Raw genomic sequence first — 24,507 nt, forward strand, 5'->3', positions numbered from 1 at the left:
GTTCTGGCTAATTAAAAAAAAAAAAATTATAGAGATGGGTCCTCACAATGTTTCCCAGGCTGAGACATAGGGTTTATTGAGGAGACTTACATACAGGGCAATCCAGTGGTGGCAGGCTGGACAGGAGAACTGCATTTGCTTACAAAAAACATACTGGCTGGGCGCGGTGGCTCACATCTGTACTCCTAGCACTTTGGGAGGCCAAGGCAGGTGGATCACTTGAGGTCAGGAGTTCGAAACCAGCTTGGCCATCATGGTGAAACCCTGTCTCTATTAAAAATTCAAAAAATTAGCTGGGCACGGTGGTGCGTGCCTGTAATCCCAGCTACTTGGGAGGCTGAAGCAGGAGAATTGCTTGAACCTGGGAGGCGGAGGTTTCAGTGAGCTGAGATCGTGCCACTGCACTCCAGCCTGGGCAACAGAGCAAGACTCCATCTCAAAAAAAAAAAAAAAAGTATACTGGTTATATAGTGTTTTCACTTAGCATTCTCACCCTAGCAACCTCCACCTGGCAACCTTGATTTAACCCAAAACAAAGGGCCTTGATCCCCTGTATGGCCTGCATTCCATGGGATGAGATGGGGATTCCTATGTTCCTCATAGGTAAGGAATGAATCTCCTGATTGGCAACTCCCAGGTTCCTTTTTTTTTTTTTTTTTTAAGAAACATGTTTATTTTCGGTCAACCTTATTTCCATGTGGCTTATGAGCCTGTAAGACAACTTGGTGGTTGTTCCTACCCATTCAAGTGGCCTGAGCAGTGGGAGCTGCAGACCAGACTTCCATGGCAGGCTGAGCTCTCCAATCTTCAGTAAGGAATTGCTGAATAGGCACAGAGGGCACCTGCCACATTCAGATCAGTCTGCACCCTCAGGCAGAGGAGCAGTGAACTCAGGAGCTGGAGCAGTCCATTTACCCTGAAATTCCTCCTTGGTCACAGCTTTTTTTCAGCAACAGCTTGCTCTTCCTTTTCATCTTTTTTTATCTTATTATATATATATATTTTTTTGAGACAGAGTCTCACTCTGTTGCCCAAGCTGCAGTGCAGTGGTGCTGTCTCAGCTCACTGCAACCTCCACCTTCTGGGTTCAAGTGATTCGCCTGCCTCAGTGTCCCAAGTAGCTGGGACTACAGGCACGTGCCACCATGCCAGCTAATTTTTGTATTTTTAGTAAAGACCGGGTTTCACCATGTTGGCCAGGCTGGTCTTGAACTCCTGACCTCAGTGATTCACCCACCTTGGTCTCCCAAAGTGATGGGATTACAGGCGTGAATCACCACACCTGGCCTTCCTTTTCAACCTCTTTAGGATCTCTATAAAAGTAGAGATCAGGCCTGAGCTCCCATGAGTGTTCACAGGAGATGGTGCCATGCATGCACAGAAGTTCCCAAACCAGCATCCACCATATCAAACCCGTAAGTAAGCTCCTTTGTTGTTGCATGGGATGGCAATGTCCCCATAGCGCAAAGGAGAATCTGTGTTGCACAGAGCGATGGTAGATAAGATTAACATAAGTTGCCTCTGTGACAGGCCGGTGGTCGTTGTTGGATTGTTGGAATCAATAACCACCAGAAGCTGTGGCTCCCAGAAGGTTTCCTGGATCTGGTTAGTGAAGGTTCCAGGAGTGAACCGACCAGCAATTGAACTCCCAGAGATTCTTTAGCTCAGAGTTCCGAACACGCATTCTTCTTTTTTTTGAGATGGAGACTGGAGTGCAGTTCACTACAATCTCCACCTCCTCGGTTCAAGCGATTCTGCTGCCTCAGCCTCCTGAATAGCTGGGATTACAGACACGCACCAAAATGCCTGGCTAATTTTTATTTATTTATTTATTTTTATTTATTTATTTTTTTGAGACGCTGTCTCGTTCTGTTGCCAGGCTAGAGTGCAGTGGTGTGGTCTTGGCTCACTGCAACCTCTGCCTCCCAGGTTCAAGCGATTCTCCTGCCTCAGCTTCCCAAGTAGCTGGGACTACAGGTGTGCACCACCATGCTCGGCTAATTTTTGTATTTTTAGTAGAGACAGGGTTTCACCATGTTGGCCAGGATGGTCTCGATCTCTTGACCTCGTGATCTGCCCACCTTGGCCTCCCAAAGTGCTGGGATTACAGGCATGAGCCACCGCTCCTGGTCTAATTTTTATATTTTTAGTAGAGATGGGGTTTCACCATGTTGGGCAGGCTGGTCTCGAACTCCTGACCTCAGGTGATCCACCCGCCTTGGCATCCCAAAGTGCTGGGATTACAGGCATGAGCCACTGCCCTGGGCCGTCCGAACACACATTCTTCTTAGGCCATAGGGTCATTCTCCGGGTATGCTTAAATTATTTCTGTTAGGCACATCTGCCATACAGCAGCCTCCAAGATGACCTCCAGTGATCCCTGCCTCCTGGTGTTTACCCTTTTGTAGTCCCCTCATATTGTACCAGATTTGCTCTGTGTGACTAGTAGAAAATTGCAACAGTAATGGTATGTCCCTTCAAAGGCTAGTGTATAGAAAGACTTTGTGGCTTTTGCCTTGCTGTCTCTTGGATCAGTCACTAGCTGCTATGGTGTGAAGACATTCAAGCAGCCCTATGGAGAGGTACTTGTAGTGAGGAACTGAGGCCTTCAGCCAAGAGCCAACAAGAAACTGAGGCCTCCTGCTAACAGTCATCATGTGAGTGAGCCATCCTGAAGGTGGATTCTCTAGCCCCAGTCAAGTCTTAAGAGATTGAAGCCCCAGTCAATATCTAAATTGTACCTCATGACAAACAAACCCTAAGTCAGAACCACCCTGCTAAGCCCCTTCCCAATTTATGACCCACAGATACTATGAAATAAGAAACGTTTGTTGTTTTAAGCCATCAAATTTTGTGGTAATTTGCTATGCAGTAACAGATAACTAATAGACCACATCTAGGAGAATTTGGAAAGAGTCACTTGAAGATCTATACAAATAGTAAAACTGAGCCTGATAAATCTAAATTGCTGCCCTAAGATTACGTTATTCATGCTAGCCATTGTAAAAAAAAATCATTACTAAAGTTTTAAATATTATAATGTGTCCTTCTTGTTAAACACACATACACACGCAGAATACAGAATTATGTGAATAGGCCTGGTGCGGTGACTCACGCTTGTAATCCCAGCACTTTGGGAGGCTGAGGAGGGTGGATCTCCTGAGATCAGGAGTTTGAGATCAGCCTGACCAACACGGTGAAACCCCATCTCTACTAAAAATACAAAAATTAGCTGGGTATGGTGGCAGGTGCCTGTAGTCCTAGCTACTTGGGTAGCTGAGGCACAAGAATCGCTTGAACCCAGGAGGCGGAGGTTGTAGTGAGCCAAGATCATGCCACTCCAGTCCAGCATAGGTGACAGGGTAAAACTATGTCTTAATAATAATAATAATTATACAAATAGGACAACTCCTTCAATCTTCTCTGAAACTGCCTTGATTCCATCCATTTCTGCACAATAATTCTTCAGCTTTTTCTTCCTTTTCATGAAATACATATTTTCATTTTCCCCAAAACTACCCAGTCTGTTTCTTTTGCTTAAAATAATAATAATAATTTTTTATTTTATTTTAGAGATGAGGTCTTGTTATGTTGCCCAGGCTGGCCTCAAACTCCTTGGGCTAAAGTGATCCTCCTGCCTCAGCCTCCCAAGTAGCTGGGACTATAGGCATGCTCCACCACGCTCAGATTATAGTCAGAAGAATCTTAACAGTATTATAATGGATGTACCACAATTTAATCCATCTCCTCCTAATGGACACAACTTATTTAATTTTTAATATTATTAATAATATTGCCACCTTCTTTACATCTTTGTGCACCTATGTGTTATTGTTAAGATAAACTCCTAGAGATGAAATTACTGAGAGGGCTGGATGCAGTGGCTCATGCCTGTAATCCCAGCACTTTGGGAGGCTGAGGCAGGTGGGGACATCACTGTGGAATGTCAGAAATGAAAGTCAGTAAATTTTGTTTTGTAAGTTCAAAAGCAGTTTCTGTCTCATAAAGCAAAAAATATTAAGAAAGAAGATAAAATCAGTCAGCAGAGATGACCAGATAGGTAGAGACTGAGAATGTCACAACCTCTGCTCACTCTTACAACCACCCTGGTAGCATTTTTACCCCCCTTCCCAGGAGTATTAACTCCAAAAGGAAGAAAGATCAAGTAGAAAGAAACGTAAACTAAGGTATTTTAAACATGAATTGAGATATAATTGAATTTGATTTAGTTTGCCTTAGATTAATAAGATTGTTTTCTGCTTCAGGCAGGATGGGGACTCAAGGTCATAAATTAAGATTGAACTGTAGGAAAGTTCTATTTGGCTGGGCATGGTGGCTCATGTCTGTAATCCTAGCACTTTGGGAGGCCAAGAAAGGAGGATCATTTGAGGCCAGAAGTTCAAGACCAGCCTGGGCAATATAGTGAGACCTCTGTCTCTCCCAAAAAATACAAAAATTAGCCAGACATGGTGGCACATACCAGTGGTCCCCCAGCTGCTTGGCACGCTGATGTGGGAGGATCACTTGAGCCCAGGAGGTTAAGGATGCAGTGAACTTTGATCATGCCACTGTACAACCTGGGTGACAGAAAGAGACCCTCATTTCAAAAAACCAAATTAATTAACAAAATTAAATATAACTTTTCTTTTCTTTTTTTTTTTTTTTTTGAGACAGGTCTTGCTGTGTCACCCAGCCTGTAATGCAGTGGCGCCAGCTCAGCTCACTGTGACCTTGACCTTCTGGGCTCAAGTGATCCTCCCACCTCAGCCTCCCAAGCAGCTGGGACCACAGGCCCACACCACAACACCTCACTAATTTTTGAATTTTTTTGTAGAGATGGGGTCTCTCACTATGTTGCCCAGGCTGGTCTTGAACTCCTGGGCTCAAGTGATCCTCTCTTGGCCTCCCAAAGTGCTGAGATTACAGGTGTGAGCCACTGCTCCTGATTAAAAAGTTCTATTTTCCATATACCTGCACTTGGAGGACACTGTGGGTGAGCATCTGTGCACGACCGGTTCCTCACTTGCCTTGCGCTAGTCCCAGCCCTGCTCTTCATTTGCTGCTTTCAGAGGGTATCTTTCAACATTTTCCTGAACTTGGGCCTTCTCTGAGGGAGATCCAGCAGTTTCTGAAATCACTAACTGCTAGTTTACAAAATCCTTTCGGGTCCCAGACATCCTCCCTATTTCTTAAGAATATTTTTGGCCGGGCACAGTAGTTCACGCCTGTAATTCCAGCACTTTGGGAGGCTGAGGTGGGTGGATCACCTGAGGTCAGGAGTTTGAGACCAGCCTGGCCAACATGGTGAAACCCTGTCTCTACTAAAAATACAAAAATCAGTCAGTGTGGTGGCACGTGCCAGTAATCCCAGCTACTCGGGAGGCTGGGGCAGGATAATCGCTTGAACCTGGAAGGCGGAGGTTGCAATGAGCCGAGACTGTGCCACTGCACTCCAGTCTGGGTGACAGAGTGAGCCTCCATCTAAAAAAAGGAAAAAGAAAAATGTTCAGGACTATTATAGCTGAGAAAAGTTTTCTTCATGTGTCCTTTAGACTTCTATGTTCACAGCCTTTCTTCATAACAGGCCCCTCCCTTTTCTCCCTCGCATCCTAATAAACCTCTATTCTACCCTCTGCCAAATTTGTATTAAAAGTCGCACATGAGCCCAGACGACATCTGATTCTCTGCAGCTAACAGAGGGCTGGCAACAGAAATCTCTCTTACATCCTGGCAATATGTAATATACTACCTTTCTCATCTAGTGATGAGAGTCCTTACGGGTCTAGTTTCTTCCTAAAGGATGCACCCTCTCTGAAACTAGACATCAACCTTATAACTTTGAATCATTCTCTAATTTGGCAAAAGCAGATCTTGCAAAATAATTTTATACGTTCTATTTTGAAAATGCCACCTAGTGGACAGAGCTAGTAAGGTTTTCATGATAACAACCAGTCATGGGATAATCACGAGAGTGAGCCCAGGGATTTAGCAAACCCTCCAGCTGGGTCCACTTCAGCACACAAACCAGCCAAATGGCCTGTGATGACTTTTCTTTTTCTTTCTTTCTTTCTTTCTTTCTTTCTTTCTTTCTTTCTTTCTTTCTTTCTTTCTTTCTTTCTTTCTTTTTCTTTCTTTCTTTTTTTTTTTTTGAAATGGAGTTTTGCTCTTGTTGCCCAGGCTGGAGTGCAATGGCACGATCTCGGCTCACTGCAACCTCTGCCTCCTGGGTTCAAGTGATTCTCCTGCTTCAGCCTCCAGAGTAGCTGGGATTACAGGCATGCACCACCACGCCCGGCTAATCTTGTATTTTTAGTATAGACAGGGTTTCTCCATGTTGGTCAGGCTGGTCTCGAACTCCCGACCTCAGGCGATCCACCTGCCTTGGCCTCCCAAAGTGCTGGGATTACAGGCATGAGCCACCGTGTCCTGCCCTGTGAAGACTTTTATCCTGTCTTTTCTGCTTCCCTCCAAATTAATCATGACATAATAATTCAAAAGAAAATATTGGGGGCAGGCACGGTGGCTCACACCTGTAATCCCAGCACTTTGGGAGGCTGAGGTGGGCGGATCACTTGAGGTCAGGAGTTCAAGACCAATCTGGCCAACATGGTGAAACCCCATCTCCACTAAAAATACAAAAATTAGCCGAGCATGATGGTTCATGCCTGTAATTTCAGCTACTCAGGAGGCTGAGGCAGGAGGATCACTTGAACCAGGGAGGAGGAGATTGCAGTGAGCCAAGATTGCGCCACTGCACTCCAGCCTGGGCAACAGAGCAAGACTCTGTCTGAAAAAAAAATACAAAAGAATTAACATCAAGAAGAAAATGTTGGTTGTTCCAATTCATGTTGTTATGACATCCAAGTTGCTAGCTATTGTAATGGCAAAATATTTGGGGAAAGTATATGGAACAAAGGTTCATGTGCTGGGCAATGATGGGAAGTTAGTAATTAGTATGTCCCCTCTCCAACTGCATAGAATAGTTTACACTCAGCAGGAAAATCGCTAAACTAAAATTCCAAACATAATATGAGAATTCAATAGGTACTTTATTGTTTGAAAAAAAACATATAAATCATGACTGTTTCTCCCCACCCCTAAGAGTAGTAATTTAAAACTCTGGAAATATTTTAAACAAAGATAGGAGGCATTCCTTTCTTTCAAATATGGAGTACTTTCAGATAAGATCCCTGAAATCTTCTTTTGAGAAATGTCAGGGCAAAACTGAGATCCAGTTTCTGAGTTTAGACAGAAAAATTGCTGAAACTTTTGAGAGTACTTGGAACTTCAAATTATCTGTGACTCCACCTTTCCTGAGTCACACAGCAGCCCATTACAGCCCTTTTCTGTTTCTTCCTTTGTGTTGCTCCGTCCTGGGTTTGGGAAATGGTTCATTTCCTCCTCTCTGCCCACTAGCAATTTCACATTTCAATTTCAGCTACAGGAAGGGACACAAATAAACACCTATTAGAAATTATGGGGTGAATAATTTTTTGGATGAGAAAGTTTCAAAAATCATGAGAGGCACCTATGGCAGACCCCCTAGGGTCTTATATAATGTCCCCTCCGTATGTCTCTGCTTTTAGACACAGCTGTGCTGAATAGTTCCATACAAGTTCAGATGCACCTAGCACTAATGGTGTCCATGAGTACCTGTGTGCATCTTGTTCAATGCCCAGGACATTCTTCAGTGCCACAGGAACCTGCTAGACCCATGGACAAGTGCAGTCCAGGGTAACCCTCAGGCAGAGGGGGACAGGAATAGGTGATGATCCAGCCTCCTTTCCTTTGGAAGAATCATTCTTGGAGGCCCTGGCTGACTGGAGCTCCTGATCTCCACAGTCGCAACCTGGATAATTACCTTTATATGATCTTTTGCTCCTCTGTTTTACTGTCCTCCATCTCTCCTGTGATCACTTTCCAAATAAACTACCTTAATTCAATTCCTTGTCTCAGCCTCTGCTTTGAAGGGAACCCAATCTGTGTTCACTAGGAGACAAGTGAGAAAGCATTCTGAAGTCCATTTTTGCTCTTAGTAAGTTAAGAAGAGTATACTTATTCTGGGCCAAGTGCGGTGGCTCATGCCTGTAATCCCAGCACTTTGGGAGGCTGAGGTGGGCAGATCACTTGAGGTCAGGAGTTTGAGACAAGCTTGGCCAACATGGTGAAAACCTGTCTCTACTAAAAATACAAAAATTAGCTGGGCATGGTGGTGGGTACCTGTCATCCCAGCTACTCGAGAGGCTGAGCCAGAATTGCTTGAACTTGGGAGGAGGAGGTTGCAGTAAGCCGAGATCATACCACTGCACTCCAGTCTGGGCAGTAGAGTGAGACTCCATCTCAAAAAAAGTAAAAAGAAGAGTATACTTATTCACTCCCGATGTTTTATTTGGTTAAGTGGGGTGACATCTATTCCCATTTTTTATCTCTCTATGCTTAATATGCTGTTGCCACACTGGCCTTCTTTCTGTTTCTCAAACAAACCAGCCTATTCCTGTCTTAGGGTGTGTGGAGGAGTTGTTCCTTCTGCCTGGAACACTTTCTTTCTGTGGCTTCACATGACTGGCAGCATCTTGTCATTCAAATCTCAATTCAACTGTCACTTTCTCAAAGAAAACAACCTTGATCACCAAAAGTAGCCACCATATACACACTCCCAACACCGTAACATATTACTTTGTTTTTTTTCTTCATAGCCGGTATAAATTTATCTGGTTAATTTATTGATCACCTATTTCCTCCTCAAAACCTAAGATCCAAGTACAAGTAGGTACTCAACATACATTTGCTGATTAATAAATCTCCTGGGCCAGGCATGGTGGCTCATGCCTGTAATCCCAGCACTTTGGGAGGCCAAGTAGGCAGATCGCTTGAGCCCAGGAGTTTGAGACCAACCTGGGCAACATGGCAAAACCCTGTCTCTACAAAAAATAAAAATTAAAAAATAAGCTGGGGATGGTGGCATATGCCTTTGGTTCCAGCTACTGGGGAGGCAGAGGTAGGAGGATCTCTTGAGCCCAGGAGGCAGAGGTTGCCATAAGCTAAGATCGTGCCACTGCACTCCACCCTGGATTATAGAGTGAGACTCTGTCTCAAAAAGTAATAATAATAAACCCAATAAATCTCCTTTTGCCTGTAAAGAATTGATAATGTTTTCTTGGACTTGTGTGCAAAAATAAATACAGATTTTTAACAGAGACTGCTCAGCTCACCAGTGTCTGGGAAAGGGCAGCCTAGCCTCTCCCTCTACATATATCAAAGGGTTGGAATAGAGCATTCCAAAGAATGATCTAAGTAGAAACCTCTGAAGGAAAATCTCTATGAACATTCCATTTGCCTTATGAGGAGCTTAAAATTTAGCTCCCCACTGAAGAATTTGTTTCACCTTCAGTACTTGGTTAGGCTTGCATTACCTTATCCAATGGCCTCTTTACCTCTTTGGCAAGGTCTAAATTTGTCACAGATGTGGGATTTTTTGTTTTGTTTTTACAAAGTCTAAGTTTGTCACAGATTGTAGGAGTCCAAGTGAGACAAAGTAGAGTTGGGGCTTGGCTTCATTCAGCTCACCCCCAACTAGAGCATTCCCACTGAAATGCTCACACAACTACGTCACTGCTAATAGTCCTTTTACTTAAAGAATTCCAGGAACTGGCCTTGGAGATAATCAAGGTCACAGAGTGTTCCCCCTCAGGAAGGAATGCTGAACAACTGATTTACAGCCTGGTTGCCCTGGCCAGACCACCAGCTGGCCCATTACTCAAGAAAACCATCACAATCAGATATGCTGACCTGCATACCCTACCCATCACGTGTTTTGTCCAGCCCAGCCTGCATACCCTACCCTTGATGTCAATTCTCATGCTTTGCCTACCAAAAAAGCCCTACCAGCTCTTCAGGGAATTCTTTCTTTTGTGCTGCCTCCCTTATGTCTCAGCATAAGCTCCAATGAAGCCTTGTCTGGGAAAGCTCTTTTGGCCTCATGTCAATTTCTTTTGCATTGAGAGCCCAAGAACCCATGGTCAGTAACATAAGGAGACATGACAACTAAATACAATGTGGGATCCTGGATTGGATCCCGGAACAGAAAAAAGATATTAGTAAAAAAACTGATAAGATCTAAATAAGGATTGTCATTTCCTTAAATAAAAAAAAAAAGTAACTATGAAAAATAGAATAGATATAAGACTAAGGTAGGCCATTCCCAGAATCCAGCTTTGAAATACTTTGCCTCCTTATCACAGAATCAAAAGTGCTTCCCAGCCCAGGCGTGGTGGCTTACACCTGTAATCCCAGCACTTTGGGAGGCCAAAGTGGGCGGATCACCTGGGATCAGGAGTTCGAGACCAGACTGGCCAACATGGCAAAACCCCATCTCTACTAAAAATACAAAAAATTAGCCAGGTATGGTGGCAGGCGGCTGTTATCCCAGCTACTCGGGAGGCTGAGGCAGGAGAATTGCTTGAACCCGTGAGGCAGAGGCTGTGGTGAGCCGAGATCGCCCCATTGCCCTCCAGCCTGGGCGACAAGAGTGAGACTCTGTCTCAAAAAAAAAAAAAAAAAAAAAAAACAAAACAAAACAGTGCTTCCCAGAGTTGAGAAACTGTCCCTGCATGAGGAAGAGGATACATGACTTTAAAGAAGTTTCCTACCCATCATCTTTTTTCTTCTCCCCTCCCTCTTTCCCCATTCTTCTCTCTCCCTCTCAAATATATTTTGAATATGTTATGCCTGTATGAGGTATAAAACTCAGAAAGTACAAAAATATATGTGTAGTTCAGATTAATAGTAAGTGTGGTAGGCTGAATAATGATCCTCCCTAAAATAAAATATTTACATCCTAATCCCTGGAACCTGTGAATGTTATCTTATATGGGGAAAAAAAGAACTTTGCAGATGTTATTAAGTTAAAGATCTTGAGATGGGCATATTATCTTGCATTATCTAGGGGGCTCCTAAATAAAATCACATGTATCTTTGTAAGAGGAAAGCAGAAGGAGATTTAACACAGACAGAAGAGGAAAAGGCAATGTGACCTTGGAGGTGGAGACTGGAGGGATGTGGCCACAAGCCAAGGTGGGCTAGCATCCACCAGAAGCTAGCAGAGGCAATTTGACTGTAATGTGTCTAGCTAAGGTTTTTTAGTTTATTCCACTTGATGTTCATTGCACTCTTGAATGTATTGTGCTTTCTTCAAATTCGACAAGTTTTCAGTCATTATTTCTTCGAATATTATTTCCACCCTTTTCTCTCTCTCCTCTCCTTCTGGAACTCTTATTGTTTGTATTTTGGTACACTTGCAGGTTTCCCACAATTCTCTAAGGCCTTTATTCTTATTTTCTTGCTGTCCCCCAGATTGGCTCTCAGTGGACTTGTCTTGAGATTTGCTGAAGACAAACCTGAGACAGGATCTTGCTCTGTCACTCAGGATGAGTACAGTGGCACAATCATGGCCCACTACAGCCTCAAACTCCTGGGTTTGAGTGATCTTCCTAGCTCAGCCTCCCACCTCGGCCATCATGCCCAGCTAATTTTTATTTTTATTTTTAGAGATGGGGTCTCACCATATTGCCCAGGCTAATCTTGAACTCCTGGGCTCAAGTGATCCTCCTGCCTTGGCCTCCCAAAGTGCTGGGATTACAGGTGTGAGCCACCACACCAAGCTGCTTTTGTGTGTTTGTTTTCAAGATGAGGTCTCACTCTGTCTCCCAGGCTGGAGTGCAGTGGCACAATCTTAGCTCACTGCAGCTTCAAACCTGTGGGCTCAAGTGATCCTCCTGCCTCAGCCTCCTGAGTAGCCAGGACTACAGGCATATGCCACCATGCATAGCTAATTTTTAAATTTTTTGTAGAGATGGGGTCTCACTATGTTCCCCAGGCTGGTCTTAAGCTCCTGGCCTTTAGCAATCCTCCCTCCTCAGCCTCCCAAAACACTGGAATTACCGGCGTGAGCCACTGCACCCAGCCCCAGGTTTGGTCATTCTTTGTCAATTCAAATCCACTGTTGAGCACCTCTAGTTAATTTTTCATTTCAGTTCTTACACGTTTCAACTCCAAAATTTCTATTTTGAGCTAATTTCTATCCTTTATTGATATCCTCTGTTGGCGAGATTTTTGTCATACTCTCCTTTAGTTCTTTTTTTTTTTTTTTTTTTGAGATGGAGTTTCACTCTTGTTGCCCAGGCTGGAGTACAATGGTGTGATCTCAGCTCACCATAACCTCTGCCTCCCTGGTTCAAGCGATTCTCCTGCCTCAGCCTCCTGAGTAGCTGGGATTACAGGCACGCACCACCACACCCAGCTAATTTTGTATTTTTAGTAGAGATGGGGTTTCTCCATGTTGGTCAGGCTGGTCTCGAACTCCCAGCCTCAGGTGATCCACCGGCCTCAGCCTCCCAAAGTGCTGGGATTATAGGCATGAGCCATTGTGCCCGGCCCTCTCCTTTAGCTCTTTAGACTTACTTTCCTTTAGTTCTTTGAACATATTTATAATAGCTGATTTAAAGTCTTTGTCTGCTAAAGTCAAAATCTGGACGCACCCAGGGACATTTTCTTATTCTTTTTTTTTTTTTTTTTTTTGAGACAAAGTCTTGCTCTTGTACCCCAGGCTGGAGTGCAATGGCGTGATCTCGGCTCACTGCAACCTCCGCCTCCTGGGTTCAAGTGATTCTCCTGCCTCAGCCTCCCGAGTAGCTGGGATTACAGGTGCCTGCCACCACGCCTGGCTAATTTTTGTATTTTTAGTAGAGACGGGGTTTCACCATGTTGGCCAGGCTGGTCTTGAACTCCTGACCTCAGGTGATCCGCCCGCCTCGGCCTCCCAAAGTGCTGGGATTACAGGCATGAGCCACCGTGCCCGGATGACATTTTCTGTTTGCTGCTTTTTGTCCTGCATATGTGGCATACTTTCCAGAGGTGGTGGTGGTGGTTGTTTTTTTTGTTGTTGTTGCTGCTTCTCTGGTGACTTTCTTCAAATAATTCTGTAGATTCTGTATTCTCTGCATTGTGTGGCAATTGAGTTCTCTGCTAGCTTTAAAAAAAAAAAAATTATAAGCCAGAATTCCTAGGTGTGATCCCTGGGTCAATAAAATTTAGTGATCAACCAATGATCAGTCAGAAGAATTCCTTTAATGCCCTTTAATGCTTTGTCTTTCTGTCCTCTCTTCTTTGCCAAGGGAATCTGTGTGAGAAGGCATGCCTTCATACTTCAGGCAGTTTACAAGACAGCCTTAGCTTTCGTTTTCTGCTTGCTACAGAGCCTTAAGGTCAGCCAGAAGCGAGTGACTGGAAACTTCTTCATTCCCATCTCTCTCCTGGGTAAGTGCACAGCCTTGTGCATGCATGCAGCCTTTTAGATCCCCTGAAATATGCTGGAACTTTTCGAAGTTCCCTATGTCTAGTTCCCTTTTCTAGTTCCCTATATTGTCTAGTTCTCCAGGACGTACTTTTAGATTCCCAGCCTGTCTCTTGCTTACCCCAATTGAAATTACAGTCTTAGCCTCAACATTGCTAGCAGATGGCTCTTGTTTTGTTAATGCCTTGGGAGTCGGGCATTTTTTCTGATGAGCTGAGTTCTAAGTCATCAAGTAATTACAACTCCCTAGGAATAGAGATTTTCCAGAGAGCTGCAATTTTGAACTAAATATTGGCTGTACTCTGGGGATCTTTCTTTTAACTGAGCGCCACAAGAGGTCAGCCCTTGCCATTGGCTGTGAGACTGCTGCTCTCGGCTACCTCTACTGAGCTGAGGAGGGAGGGTGGATGGGAATAGCATCCCAGCCACAAGTTAAAATATCACAGATCACACTGTCTTAGCAAAGTTTAACAGCTTCTCTTTCTAGAGTTCTAAAATGGTTGGCCTTAGTGGTTTTGCCAGTATTTTTCTTTGTTTTTGTGGGAGAGCAAGTTCACCGAAGGTGAACTATTCTGGAAGTTAATCTCCAGGCAAACTCATTCTTTTTTCTTTTTCTTTTTCTTTTTTTTTTTTTTTAATGAGATGGAATCTCGCTGTGCCACCCAGGCTGGAGTGCAGTGGCGCGATCTCAGCTCACTGCAACTTCCACCTCCCAGGTTCAACCAATTCTCCTCTCTCAGCCTCCCGAGTAGCTGGGACTACAGGCACACGCCACCACACCTGGCTAATTTTTGTATTTTTTAGTAGAGACAGGGTTTCACCATATTAGTCAGGCTGCTGTCAAACTCCAGACCTCAGATGATCCACCCGCCTCGGCCTCCCAAAGTGCTGGGATTACAGACGTGAGCCACCGTGCCAGGCCAGGCAAGCTCATTCTTTCTTTCTTTCTTTCTTTTTTTTTTTTTTTTTGAGACGGAGTCTTGCTCTGTCGCCCAGGCTGGAGTGCAGTGGCGCGATCTTGGCTCATTGTAAGCTCCACCTCCCGGGTTCAGGCCATTCTCCTGCCTCAGCCTCCCGAGTAGCTGGGACTACAGGCGCCAGCCACCACGTCCGGCTAATTTTTTTTGTATTTTTAGTAGAGACGGGGTTTCACCGTGTTAGCCAGGATGGTCTCAATCTGCTGACATCGTGATCCGCCCGCCTTGGCCTCCCAAAGTGCTGGGATTACAGGCGTGAGCCACCGCACCCAGCCGTTCCTTCTTTTTTTTCTTTTTCTTTCGTTTTTTTATTTTTTTGAGACAGAGTCTCTCTGTGTCGCCCAGGCTGGAGTGCAGTGGTGCGATCTCGGCTCACTGCAAGCTCCACCTCCCGGGTTCAGGCCATTCTCCTGCCTCAGCCTCCCGAGTAGCTGGGACTACAGGCGCCTGCCACCATGCCCGGCTAATTTTTTGTATTTTTAGTAGAGACGGGGTTTCCTGACCTTGTGATCCGCCCGTCTCGGCCTCCCAAAGTGCTGGGATTACAGGCATGGGCCAGCGCACCCGGCCGCTCATTCTTAAACATGGTTCTTCTCAAGTCTCCTACATTTCTGCAGGGAAAGTTTTTAAAGTTTGTCCTGTTTTCATCAAGCTCAAGGCCAGACTATGAATCTTCATAACAATATGATTTAAGCTTATTCTGATTCTGATGTGGAATACCCCAGCTATCCTTAAGGTGTATTTTTTTTTAAAATGGAACTCCCAGAGGTTCATGGAACATATTTTATAAAGAGCATCCCACTAGCCGGCTGTGTGGTAGAAGGCTGTTTACTGATAGTAGCATCCTAAACCAAAGATAACTAGATGATTTACAAGGGCAAGAGAAAAAAAGAAAAGAAAAGAAGATAACTTGAGTACTGTCATGTTTTCTGCACAGGAGAACTTGTGCAATTGCTGGAACAAATCCAAATAGATTATTCTGGTTCTGTTTATTTTCGTTTTAGAGACAGCTTCTTGCTATGTTGCCCAGGCAGAACTTGAACTTGGTTGTGTTTTCTTATCATCCAGGATGTGTTCTTATTTATTTATTTATTTATAGATAAATAAATCTTTGTTTCTCAGGCTGGAGTGCAGTGGTGTGATCTCGACTCACTGCAACTTCCGCCTCCTGGGTTCAAGCAATTCTCCTGCCTCAGCCTCCCGAGTAGCTGGAACTACAGGCATTCGCTACCATGCCCGCCTAATTTTTGTATTTTTAGTAGAAACAGGGTTTCACCATGTTGGCCAGGCTGGTCTCAAACTCCTGACCTCAGGTGATCTGCCCACCTTGGCCTCCCCAAATGATGCGATTACAGGCATGAGCCCAGGATGTGTTCTTTATCTATCATTACCACCTGTGGGGAAAGGCAAAGCACTGTGGACTATTTGAGATGAGGTGCTAATTCTTCCTACTTAACTCAAACCTTTCACCTGGCATTTCATTGTTTTACCTGGAGCCAATCAATAATACCATTTCTCCAGACTTCTCAGTCCCTCCCCCTGAGAATCAGTTCACATTGTCCCCATGTCATTCATGACTTTACTGCTGGGACACAAACTGTGCCTTTTTGGGGTCTCAGATGGTAGTGTGACAGAATATACACTTTCTGTCTTTAATGAGCTTTTATTATCCTACAATGATTGAGTGTGGATGAAGAAATAGACACCTACTCCTCTATCTCCAAACAACTGATTAAAATAATCAAAGGGGCCAGGCGTGGTGGCTCATGACTGTAATCCCAGCATTTTAGGAGACTGAGGTGGGCGGATCACTTGAGGCCAGGAGCTTGAGACCAGCCTCGGCAACATGCTGAAACCCCGTCTCTATCAAAAATACAAAAATTAGCTGGGCATGGTGGCACACACCTGTGATCCCAGCTACTAGGGAGGCTGAGGTGGGAGAATCACTTGAACCCAGGAGGAGGAGGTGGCAGTGAGCTGATATCATGCCATTACACCGCAGCCTGGGCAACAGAGCAAGACCCTGTCTCAAAATAATAATAATAATAATCAAAGGAAAATTAGCATCAGTGATAAAAATATACATATTGGGCTAGGTATGGTGCCACATGCCTGTAATTCCAGTGCTTTAGGAGGCCCAGGTGGGCGGATCGCTTGAGCACAGGAGTTTCAGACCAGCCTGGGTAACACGGCGAAACCCTGTCTCTACATATATATGGTGTGGTGGCACATGTCTGTAGTCACAGCTGCTTAGGAGGCTGAGGGGGGTGGATCACTTGAGCCTGGGGGATTGAGGCTGAAATAAGCCGAGATCATGCCACTGCACTCCAGCCTGGGCAACAGAATGAAACCCCATCTCAAAAAAAATAAAGATAAAAAAATAAAAAATACACACACAGACACACACAACTGATTAAACAGTGGAAGGGAGAGAAATATACCCCAGTGATAGAAGAATTTCTGCCAGATAATGGTTACCTAGGACTGAATGCTAGGGTAAAACTCATGTATATATCTACTTGTAAGAAAATAAGAGAATAGCGCAGTATCATGAGAATTGAGAACAGGAACTCTTGACAGACCCCTGCTAATAACTACTAATCACAGATTCAAGATCTAGAAAAAGCTGTTTCTTGAAGATTTGTGGGCCATTTTACTTGGAATCTCTTTTCATGGGCAGGACAAAAATACTTGAAGGTAATTGCACAGAGTTTAGGAGAGAAAAGGAGGCCATAAAAACAGGAAAATCTGTGGTGAGGTTCTACCCTGACTGGAACATCTCATTAGAGCAGGTAGATCATCTCAACACTGGGAGAAGTTTCCTTATTCTTATGGGCAACTGACCCCATGGGGCAGTTTCCCTCACCTCAATTTACAAAACAGCCAGGAAGGGAACCACACACTGCTATGCCTTGTACCTGAACCACAAGCCAGTCCAAACAGAAAAACAGGTATCAGGCTGGGCATGGTGGCTCACGCCGGTAATCCCAGCACTTTGGGAGGCCGAGGCAGGCAGATCACGATGTCAGGAAATCGAGACCATCCTGGCCAACAGGGTGAAACCCTGTCTGTACTAAAATACAAAAAATTAGCCAGATGTGGTGGCATGCACCTGTAGCCCCAGCTACTCAGGAGGCTGAGGCAGGGGAATTGCTTGAACCCAGGAGGCGGAGGTTGCAGTGAGCTGAGATCGCACCACTGCACTCTACCCTGGCGACAGAGCAAGACTCTGTCCCCTCAACACCTGCCCCCCGCCAAAAAAAAATTCACTAAACAGAGCCCTAAAGAGGCTATACTGTTAAGTGGTTGTGAATATAGCCGTGGAGTTACGTTGTCTCAGTTTAAACTCTATCATTTATTTTCTGTGTGACCTTGAGCAAGTTATTTTCTTCAGGTGCCAGTTTTCTCATCTACAAAATAGAATAATAGCACCCACCTCTCGGAAGTGTTGTAAGAATCAACTGAATTTATACACGTAAAGTCCTTAAAATAATGCCATGCACACAGAAAAGTCTCAATAAATGTTAGCTGTTATAGGAATAATAATATTATTATTCTTTTTGCAACTTCAAACAAATGGTCATCTTGAATTATGAATATGGATGTGGCCTTTTTTTATTTGAGACAGAGTCTAGCTCTGTTGCCCAGACTGGAGTGTAGTGTCGTGATCTTGGCTTACTGCAATCTCCGCTTCCTGGGTTCAAGCGATTCTCCTGCCTCAGCCTCCCAAGTACCTGGGAAAACAGGTGTGCGCCACCACGCCTGGCTAATTTTTGTATTTTTAGTAGAGATGGGGTTTCACCATGTTGGCCAGGCTGGTCTCAAACTCCTGACCTCAAGTAATCCGTCCGCCTTGGCCTCCCAAAGTGCTGAGATTATAGGCCTGAGCCACCGCACCTGGCCTGGATATGGCTTAAAAGTTGATTTAATCCAATTCCCTCCCAAGACTTTTGTGAAACTGTGACTCAATAGAAAAATTGACTTCTTGGTGAAGCATTTACTACATTATCTCATTTAACCCTCTGTGAGTTATGTACCTTTGCTGTCCCCATTTTACCATTGAGAAACAAGCTAAGAGAAGTTAACTAATTTGCCTAAAGTTTTAAAGTGTTAAGTGGTGAGGAGGATTAGAAGCCAGAGCTTCTTCTTTTTTTTTTTTTTTTTTTTTGAGATGGAGTCTCATTCTTGTTGCCCAGGCTGGAGTGCAATGGTACGACCTCGGTTTACTGCAACCTCCTCCTCCTGGGTTCAAGCGATTCTCCTGCCTCAGCCTCCCAAGTAGCTGGGATTACAGGCACTTGCCACCATGCCTGGCTGATTTTTTGTATTTTTAGTAGAGATGGGGGTTTCACTGTGTTGGCCAGGCTGGTCTCGAACTCCTGATGTCAGGTGATCCACCCACCTCAGATTCCCAAAGTGCTGGGATTACAGGCATGAGCCACCATGCCCGGTGGAAGCCAGAGCTTCTTGTTCTGAAGTCCATCTCCCTTATAAATTCTATGCCAGTTTGCTTAAAGTCATTGAATTCTTAAGTTTCTACATCACAACACTTAAGCAAGGCGTGGTGACCTGTGTCCTATATAGTGGGAGGCTGAGGTGGGAGGATTGCCTGAACCTGGGGGGTTCCAGGCCAGCCTGAAAAATATAGTCAGATCCCTTCTCAAACAAAACAAAATAAACCACATATTCAATAACTGTGAGAATTTTCAAGCAGGTGTTTCTAGTTGTCAGCCAAAGAACAATCTTAATTCTTTCACTGCACCACATAACTTCCTGGTCAACTTGTCTGGATGAATTAATTGCAAATATTCCTTTAATAAATAACAAAACAAGCTGGGTGAGGTGGCTTGCACCTATAATTCCAGCTACTTAGGAGGCTGAAGTGGGAGGATTTGGCCAAGAGTTCCAGACCAGCCTGGGCAACATAGCAAGACCCCATCTATATCTTTTTTTTTTTTTTAATTAGCCAGATATGGTGGCCTAGCAGCTGTAGTCTGGCCTACTCAGGAGGCTGAGGTGAGTGGATTGCTTGAGCCCAGAAGCTGGAGACTACTGTGAGCTCCCATCATGCCACTGCACTTTAGCCTGGGTAACACAGCAAGACTCTCAATCAATCAATCAGTCAATCCACAAATAGACTTTCTGTATAGTGTTATGAGAGCAACTGGAGAGCAACAAGCCTTCACCTAATGTTCATAGTTCCCTCTCCCATTGCCCTCCCCCTTGCTCTCAGCTGACAATTTCCTACTTCACAGAGAAGATACAGGCCAATGGGCAGTGGATTCTTCAGGGTCCTACCCTGCCCCATAAACCAACAACTTATCTGCAACCCTGTCAATTCTTGCTTTTTCCTTTTCTTCTCAGTCGTGAAATTCTCTCTCTTTTAAGATGATTTTCTCCACACATACTCTAAATCAATGGTCACCTGAAGATTGACAGAAAGTTAATTCTTATGCCCCATCCCAGACTTACTGAATCAGAAACTCTGGGAGTGGGGCCAGCATTCTCTGGATTAACCAGCCTATCAGGTGATTCTGATGCATGCTGAAGTTTGAGAACAATTGTTCTAAATCCTTATTATTCAAAGTGGCCCATGGAGTGGCAACTTTGGTACCACCTGAGAGCATATTAGAACTGTAGATTCTTGGATGCCCCCTAGACCTAATGGAGCTGAATCTGCATTTAATAGGATCCTCCAGATGATTACAGGATCCCCAGATGGTTCATGTGCATGTTAAAGTTTGAGAAGCTCTGCTCTAAATAATAATCTCTTCTCAGGGATATTTCTCATTTTTCCCTCTCTCTTTTACTTTTTCTACTGTTTTGGATTTTTCCTGTCAGCATTTTTTTAATTTTTATGTTTTTGAGATGGAGTTTTGCTCTTGTTGCCCAGGCTGGAGTGCAGTGGCGTGATCTTGGCTCACTGCAACCTCCACCTCCTGGGTTCAAGCGATTCTCCTGTCTCAGCCTCCCAAGTAGCTGGGATTATAGGCATGTGCCACCATGCCTGGCTAATTTTTTGTGTTTTTACTAGAGACGGGGGTTTCATCATGTTGGCCAGGCTAGTCTCGAACTCCTGACCTCAGGTGATCCACCTGCCTCGGCCTCCCAAAGTGTTGAGATTACAAGCATGAGCCACTGCGCCTGGCTCCTGTCAGCATTTTAAAAATGAGTATGTCTCTTTAATATTAAAAAATCATTATTCTGGGTGGGCACAGTGGTTCACACCTGTAATCCCAGCACTTTGAGAGGTTGAGGCGGGCAGATCACTTGAGCCCAAGAGTTGGAGACCAGCCTGGGCAACATGGTAAAACTCCGTCTCTACCCAAAATACAGAACGTTAGCCAGGTGTTGTTGGGTGTGCCTGTAGTCCCAACTACTCAGCAGGCTGAGGTGGGAGGATCGCTTGAGCGCAGGAGGCAGAGGTTGCAGTGAGCCGAGATCGAGCCACTGCACTTCAGCCTGGGTGACAGAGTGAGATCCTATCTCAAAAAAAAAAAAAAAAAAAGTTTTAATGAAAAAATAAAAATGTCATTATTCTATTTACTTTTTAGCTACTTCTCTCTCCTATTCACAGACAAGCTTCTTAAATGACTTACCCATACTGTAAACAGAGTCTTTTTCTCTTCACCTCACTCACTCCTCAATCCCTATCAGCCTGACCTGTCCCTGCCACCCTACTGGAAATTCTTGAGCGAGGGAAACAAGAAACCCCTTATGGATAAATCCACTGGATGATTTTCAGTTGTAAACTCACTTGACCTCTCTACAGCATTTGACGATATTGGCCATGTTTGCCTTCTTAAAAGTCTCCTTAGATTTTTGAATAAGACATTCTTTCCATCTTCTTCTATCTCCCTGACCACTCATTATCATCTTTCTTTGGTGTCCCCTGCTCCTACACCTAGCCTGGGTATGGCTAGTGAGTGGGCCTACTTGATCTAAAACAGAGTTTCCCGGTCTCAGCACTCTTGACTCTTTGTTGCAGGGGGCGGGAGGGTGGCAGGGGGAGGCCTCAGGGGTGGGGGTGTCCTTCTGTGTGTGCATTGAAGGATGTTTAGTAGTAACATCCTTGGCCTCTACCCACTAGACACTAGTAGCATTTCCTCTCCTCAAGTTGTGACAATCGAAAATGTGTCCAGATATTACAGAATGTCCCATCAGGGGAAAAATTGCCCATGGTGAGAAGAAAGGGTCTAAAAGCAATCAGATCAGATGTGACCTGGTTCTGGTAAACAGTAAGACATCCTTGCTGAAAATTTCTAGGAAAGTTCTCTCTCTTTTATTTTTTTTTTCAGATGGAGTCTTGCTCTGTTACCCAGGCTGGAGTGTAGTGGCTTGATCTCGGCACACTGCAGCCTCCACCTCTCGGGTTCAAGTGATTCTCCTGCCTCAGCCTCCCGAATAGCTGGGATTACAAGTGTGTGCTACCACGCCCGGCTAATTTTTGTATTTTTAGTAGAGATGGGGTTTCACCATGTTGGTCAGGCTGGTCTCAAACTCCTGACCTCAAGTGATTCGCCTACCTTGGCCTCTCAAAGTGCTTGGATTACAGGTGAGAGCTATAACACCTGGCCTGCTAGGAAAGTTCTTTATTTGAGAAAAAGCTATGGGATGTTATTCTTTCTCTCCCGTCACATGGGGAAGCATGTAGTATTGATTGCCACAGGTAGCTATCTTATAGCTCTGGATGAAGAATGAGGTGGTTTCTGATGACATAGCTGGATCAACCAGTTCTGATGTCAGCCCTTCCTCTGGATTTAGTCCTGGCTAATACACCTTTCAAACTCACTTACTCATCTGATCTCCTGTTGTCCCATTTCCTTCTCCCTCTTTGTCTCTCAGCCCGTCCCCTTCAGATTGACATTTTATTTGCAGTTTGGTTTTCTAATTTATTTTTCCCAGTAGATACTAACTTTTCCTCTATCTTTTTCCACATTTTACACGGAGGCTAGCATCTCACCATTGTCACAATGACTGCCAGTTCCCAGGCCTCAACCTGGAATCTCAGAAGCAACTCTTTTTGTACAGCTGAGGGGCACCTGGAACATAGAAGTTAAGAAGAGATCTGGCTGGGATCAAGAAACCTCTTTTCACTGCACCTGAGGCTCAGTTGTGCCCTCTGCTGACACTAGGTCAGGAGGCTGGACAGCTCCAACTGGAAACTTGGAGCAGGGTTTTAAGACCTCTGCTTTCTCACTTTGAAGAATTGGAATAGAAAAATAGAAAATACAAAAATGATGAGTCCTTGGAATTGATAGGACACGTAGACTTGAGAGACTTGAACATGTTTTTTGTCTGTTTGATTCCCTTCTCTATTCCCAGTGTTTCGAGCAGTTCTAGTCCATGGTAAGTGCTCAGTAAATATTTGTGCTGATGAGCAAGCAAAAGGCTGTTCTGCTGTGAAAGGTATGGTGGAGACCCTTATGCTCCTAGAAAGATGCAGAGAACAATTGCCTTGTTTCCTGACAAGTCCCTGTCCAAGGTCCTCATCAGGCTTAGGTAGGCTTCCTGCCCTCTGGTTCTAGGAGATATCCCTATATGTGTGTAACAAATCATTTTTTTTTCTTATACTATATTGAGGGGTTTGGCATAGATTGCCAGTCTTTTTTTATTTTTATTTTTATTTTTAGACAGAGTCTTGCTCTGTCGCCCAGGCTGGAGTGCAGTAGCACCATCATGACTCACTGCAGCCTCAACTTCCCAGGCTCAGGTGATCCTCCCATCTCAGCCTCCCAAGTAGCTGGGATTACAGGTGTGGGCCACTGTGCCCAGCTCTAGGCTGGTCTTGAACTCCTAGGCTCAAGTGATCCTCCCGCCTTCGCCTCCCAAAGTGTTGGAATTACAGGTGTGAGCCAACAAGCCTAGCCAATAAACTGAGCATTCTTTTTATTTTATTTTATTTTATTTATTTATTTATTTATTTTTGAGAAGGAGTTTCACTCTTGCTGCCCAGGCAGGAGTGCAATGGCGCTATCTCTGGCTCACCGCAACCTCTGCCTCCCGGGTTCAAGTGATTCTCCTGCCTCAGCCTCCCGAGTAGCTGGGATTACAGGCATGTGCCACAATACCCGGCTAATTTTGTATTTTTAGTAGAGACGGGTTTTCTCCATGTTGGTTAGGGTGGTCTCGAACTCCCAACCTCAGGTGATCCGCCTGCCTCAGCCTCCCAAAGTGGTAGGATTACAGGTGTGAGCCACCACACCCGGCCCTGAACATTCTTTTAAATAATTCAGATGGGCTGATTCCATTCAGGGGGTCCCATATATGGAGCTTTACTTAATTTGAAGGGTGAAAGGGGCAAATGTTAATAAATCACGGTTCCTATGCTTTGGCATCTGCTGAGATAGCTTTTTCTGCTACTTCTCTTGACATCCTGGCCCCTGTGAGGACCATGATGTTCCTTGGGTGCATCTCCCAAATCCCAGGAGCACAGTTTCTACTATCCTACAACCTCACCATGCTGGGCAAGGTAGAGGTAAGGCTTAAAGACTGGTGCCTGCCTTCCCAGGTTGGCCCAAGAAAATGAGGCACATATTCTGTTGCAACTGAGCCCCAAACCATCTGGAGGAATTCAGTTGACTCCCCTCACGGGCCCTTGCATGTGGAGAGGGCCAGGAACAGGATAACTTACTTTTGAACACACCACTATCTAAGTTCTTTAGTTTTTTCTCCAGTTCTCCTCCCCTTATAGCTTGTAGAATTATTTTTTTTTTCTGAGAACTTTAAAACATTTTATTTTGTTTTGTTTTGTTTTGTTTTTTGAGACAGGGTCTTGATGTCACCCAGGCTGGAGTGCAGATCATAGTTCACTGCAGCCTCCAACTCCTACGCTCAAATGATCCTCCTGTCTCAGCCTCCCAAGTAGCTGGGACTACAGGTGTGTGTCACCATGCCTAGCTAATTTTTAAATTTTTCTTTTGTAAAGATGGGGGTCTCGCTTTGTTGGTCTCAAATTCCTGTCCTCAAGCGATCCTCCCACCTCAGCCTTCCAAAGCACTGAGCCACTGAGTCCAGTCTTTTTTTATTAAATACAGAAAAATATGGAGAATAATAAAATGAACGTGTGTCCTCACTACCAAGGATCAAAGATTATTAACATTTTGTCATATTTCTGCTGTATTTTAAAGAAATACAAAAATTACAGATAAATTTTATATTCTTTTACCTCTTGCTCTG

At 44.5% G+C, this 24,507-nt stretch overlaps 1 long non-coding RNA gene and 1 pseudogene across 1 annotated transcript, besides 1 other annotated feature; one reads left to right on the forward strand and one right to left on the reverse strand.

Annotated features, from left to right (window-relative positions):
* The first annotated feature begins 521 nt into the window (after positions 1 to 521).
* LINC01999 (long intergenic non-protein coding RNA 1999) lies at positions 522 to 22,596 on the forward strand. The gene is made up of 4 exons (NR_126009.1): positions 522 to 603; positions 1,309 to 1,415; positions 13,173 to 13,314; positions 22,284 to 22,596. It is a non-coding gene; the product is annotated as a long intergenic non-protein coding RNA 1999 (long non-coding RNA).
* RPSAP66 (ribosomal protein SA pseudogene 66) lies at positions 658 to 1,654 on the reverse strand (annotated as a pseudogene).
* Positions 15,458 to 16,120: an enhancer, noted in NCBI's record as "NANOG hESC enhancer chr17:58656843-58657505 (GRCh37/hg19 assembly coordinates)". NCBI's record gives its function as "activates a minimal SCP1, AML or CMV promoter by ChIP-STARR-seq in naive and primed H9 embryonic stem cells {active_cell/tissue: H9 hESC(naive and primed)}" and the evidence as "EXISTENCE:reporter gene assay evidence [ECO:0000049][PMID:30033119]".
* Positions 22,597 to 24,507: the final 1,911 nt, after the last annotated feature.

This window comes from Homo sapiens, chromosome 17, assembly GCF_000001405.40.
Source record: "Homo sapiens chromosome 17, GRCh38.p14 Primary Assembly".
NCBI classification, from domain to species: Eukaryota; Metazoa; Chordata; class Mammalia; order Primates; family Hominidae; genus Homo; species Homo sapiens.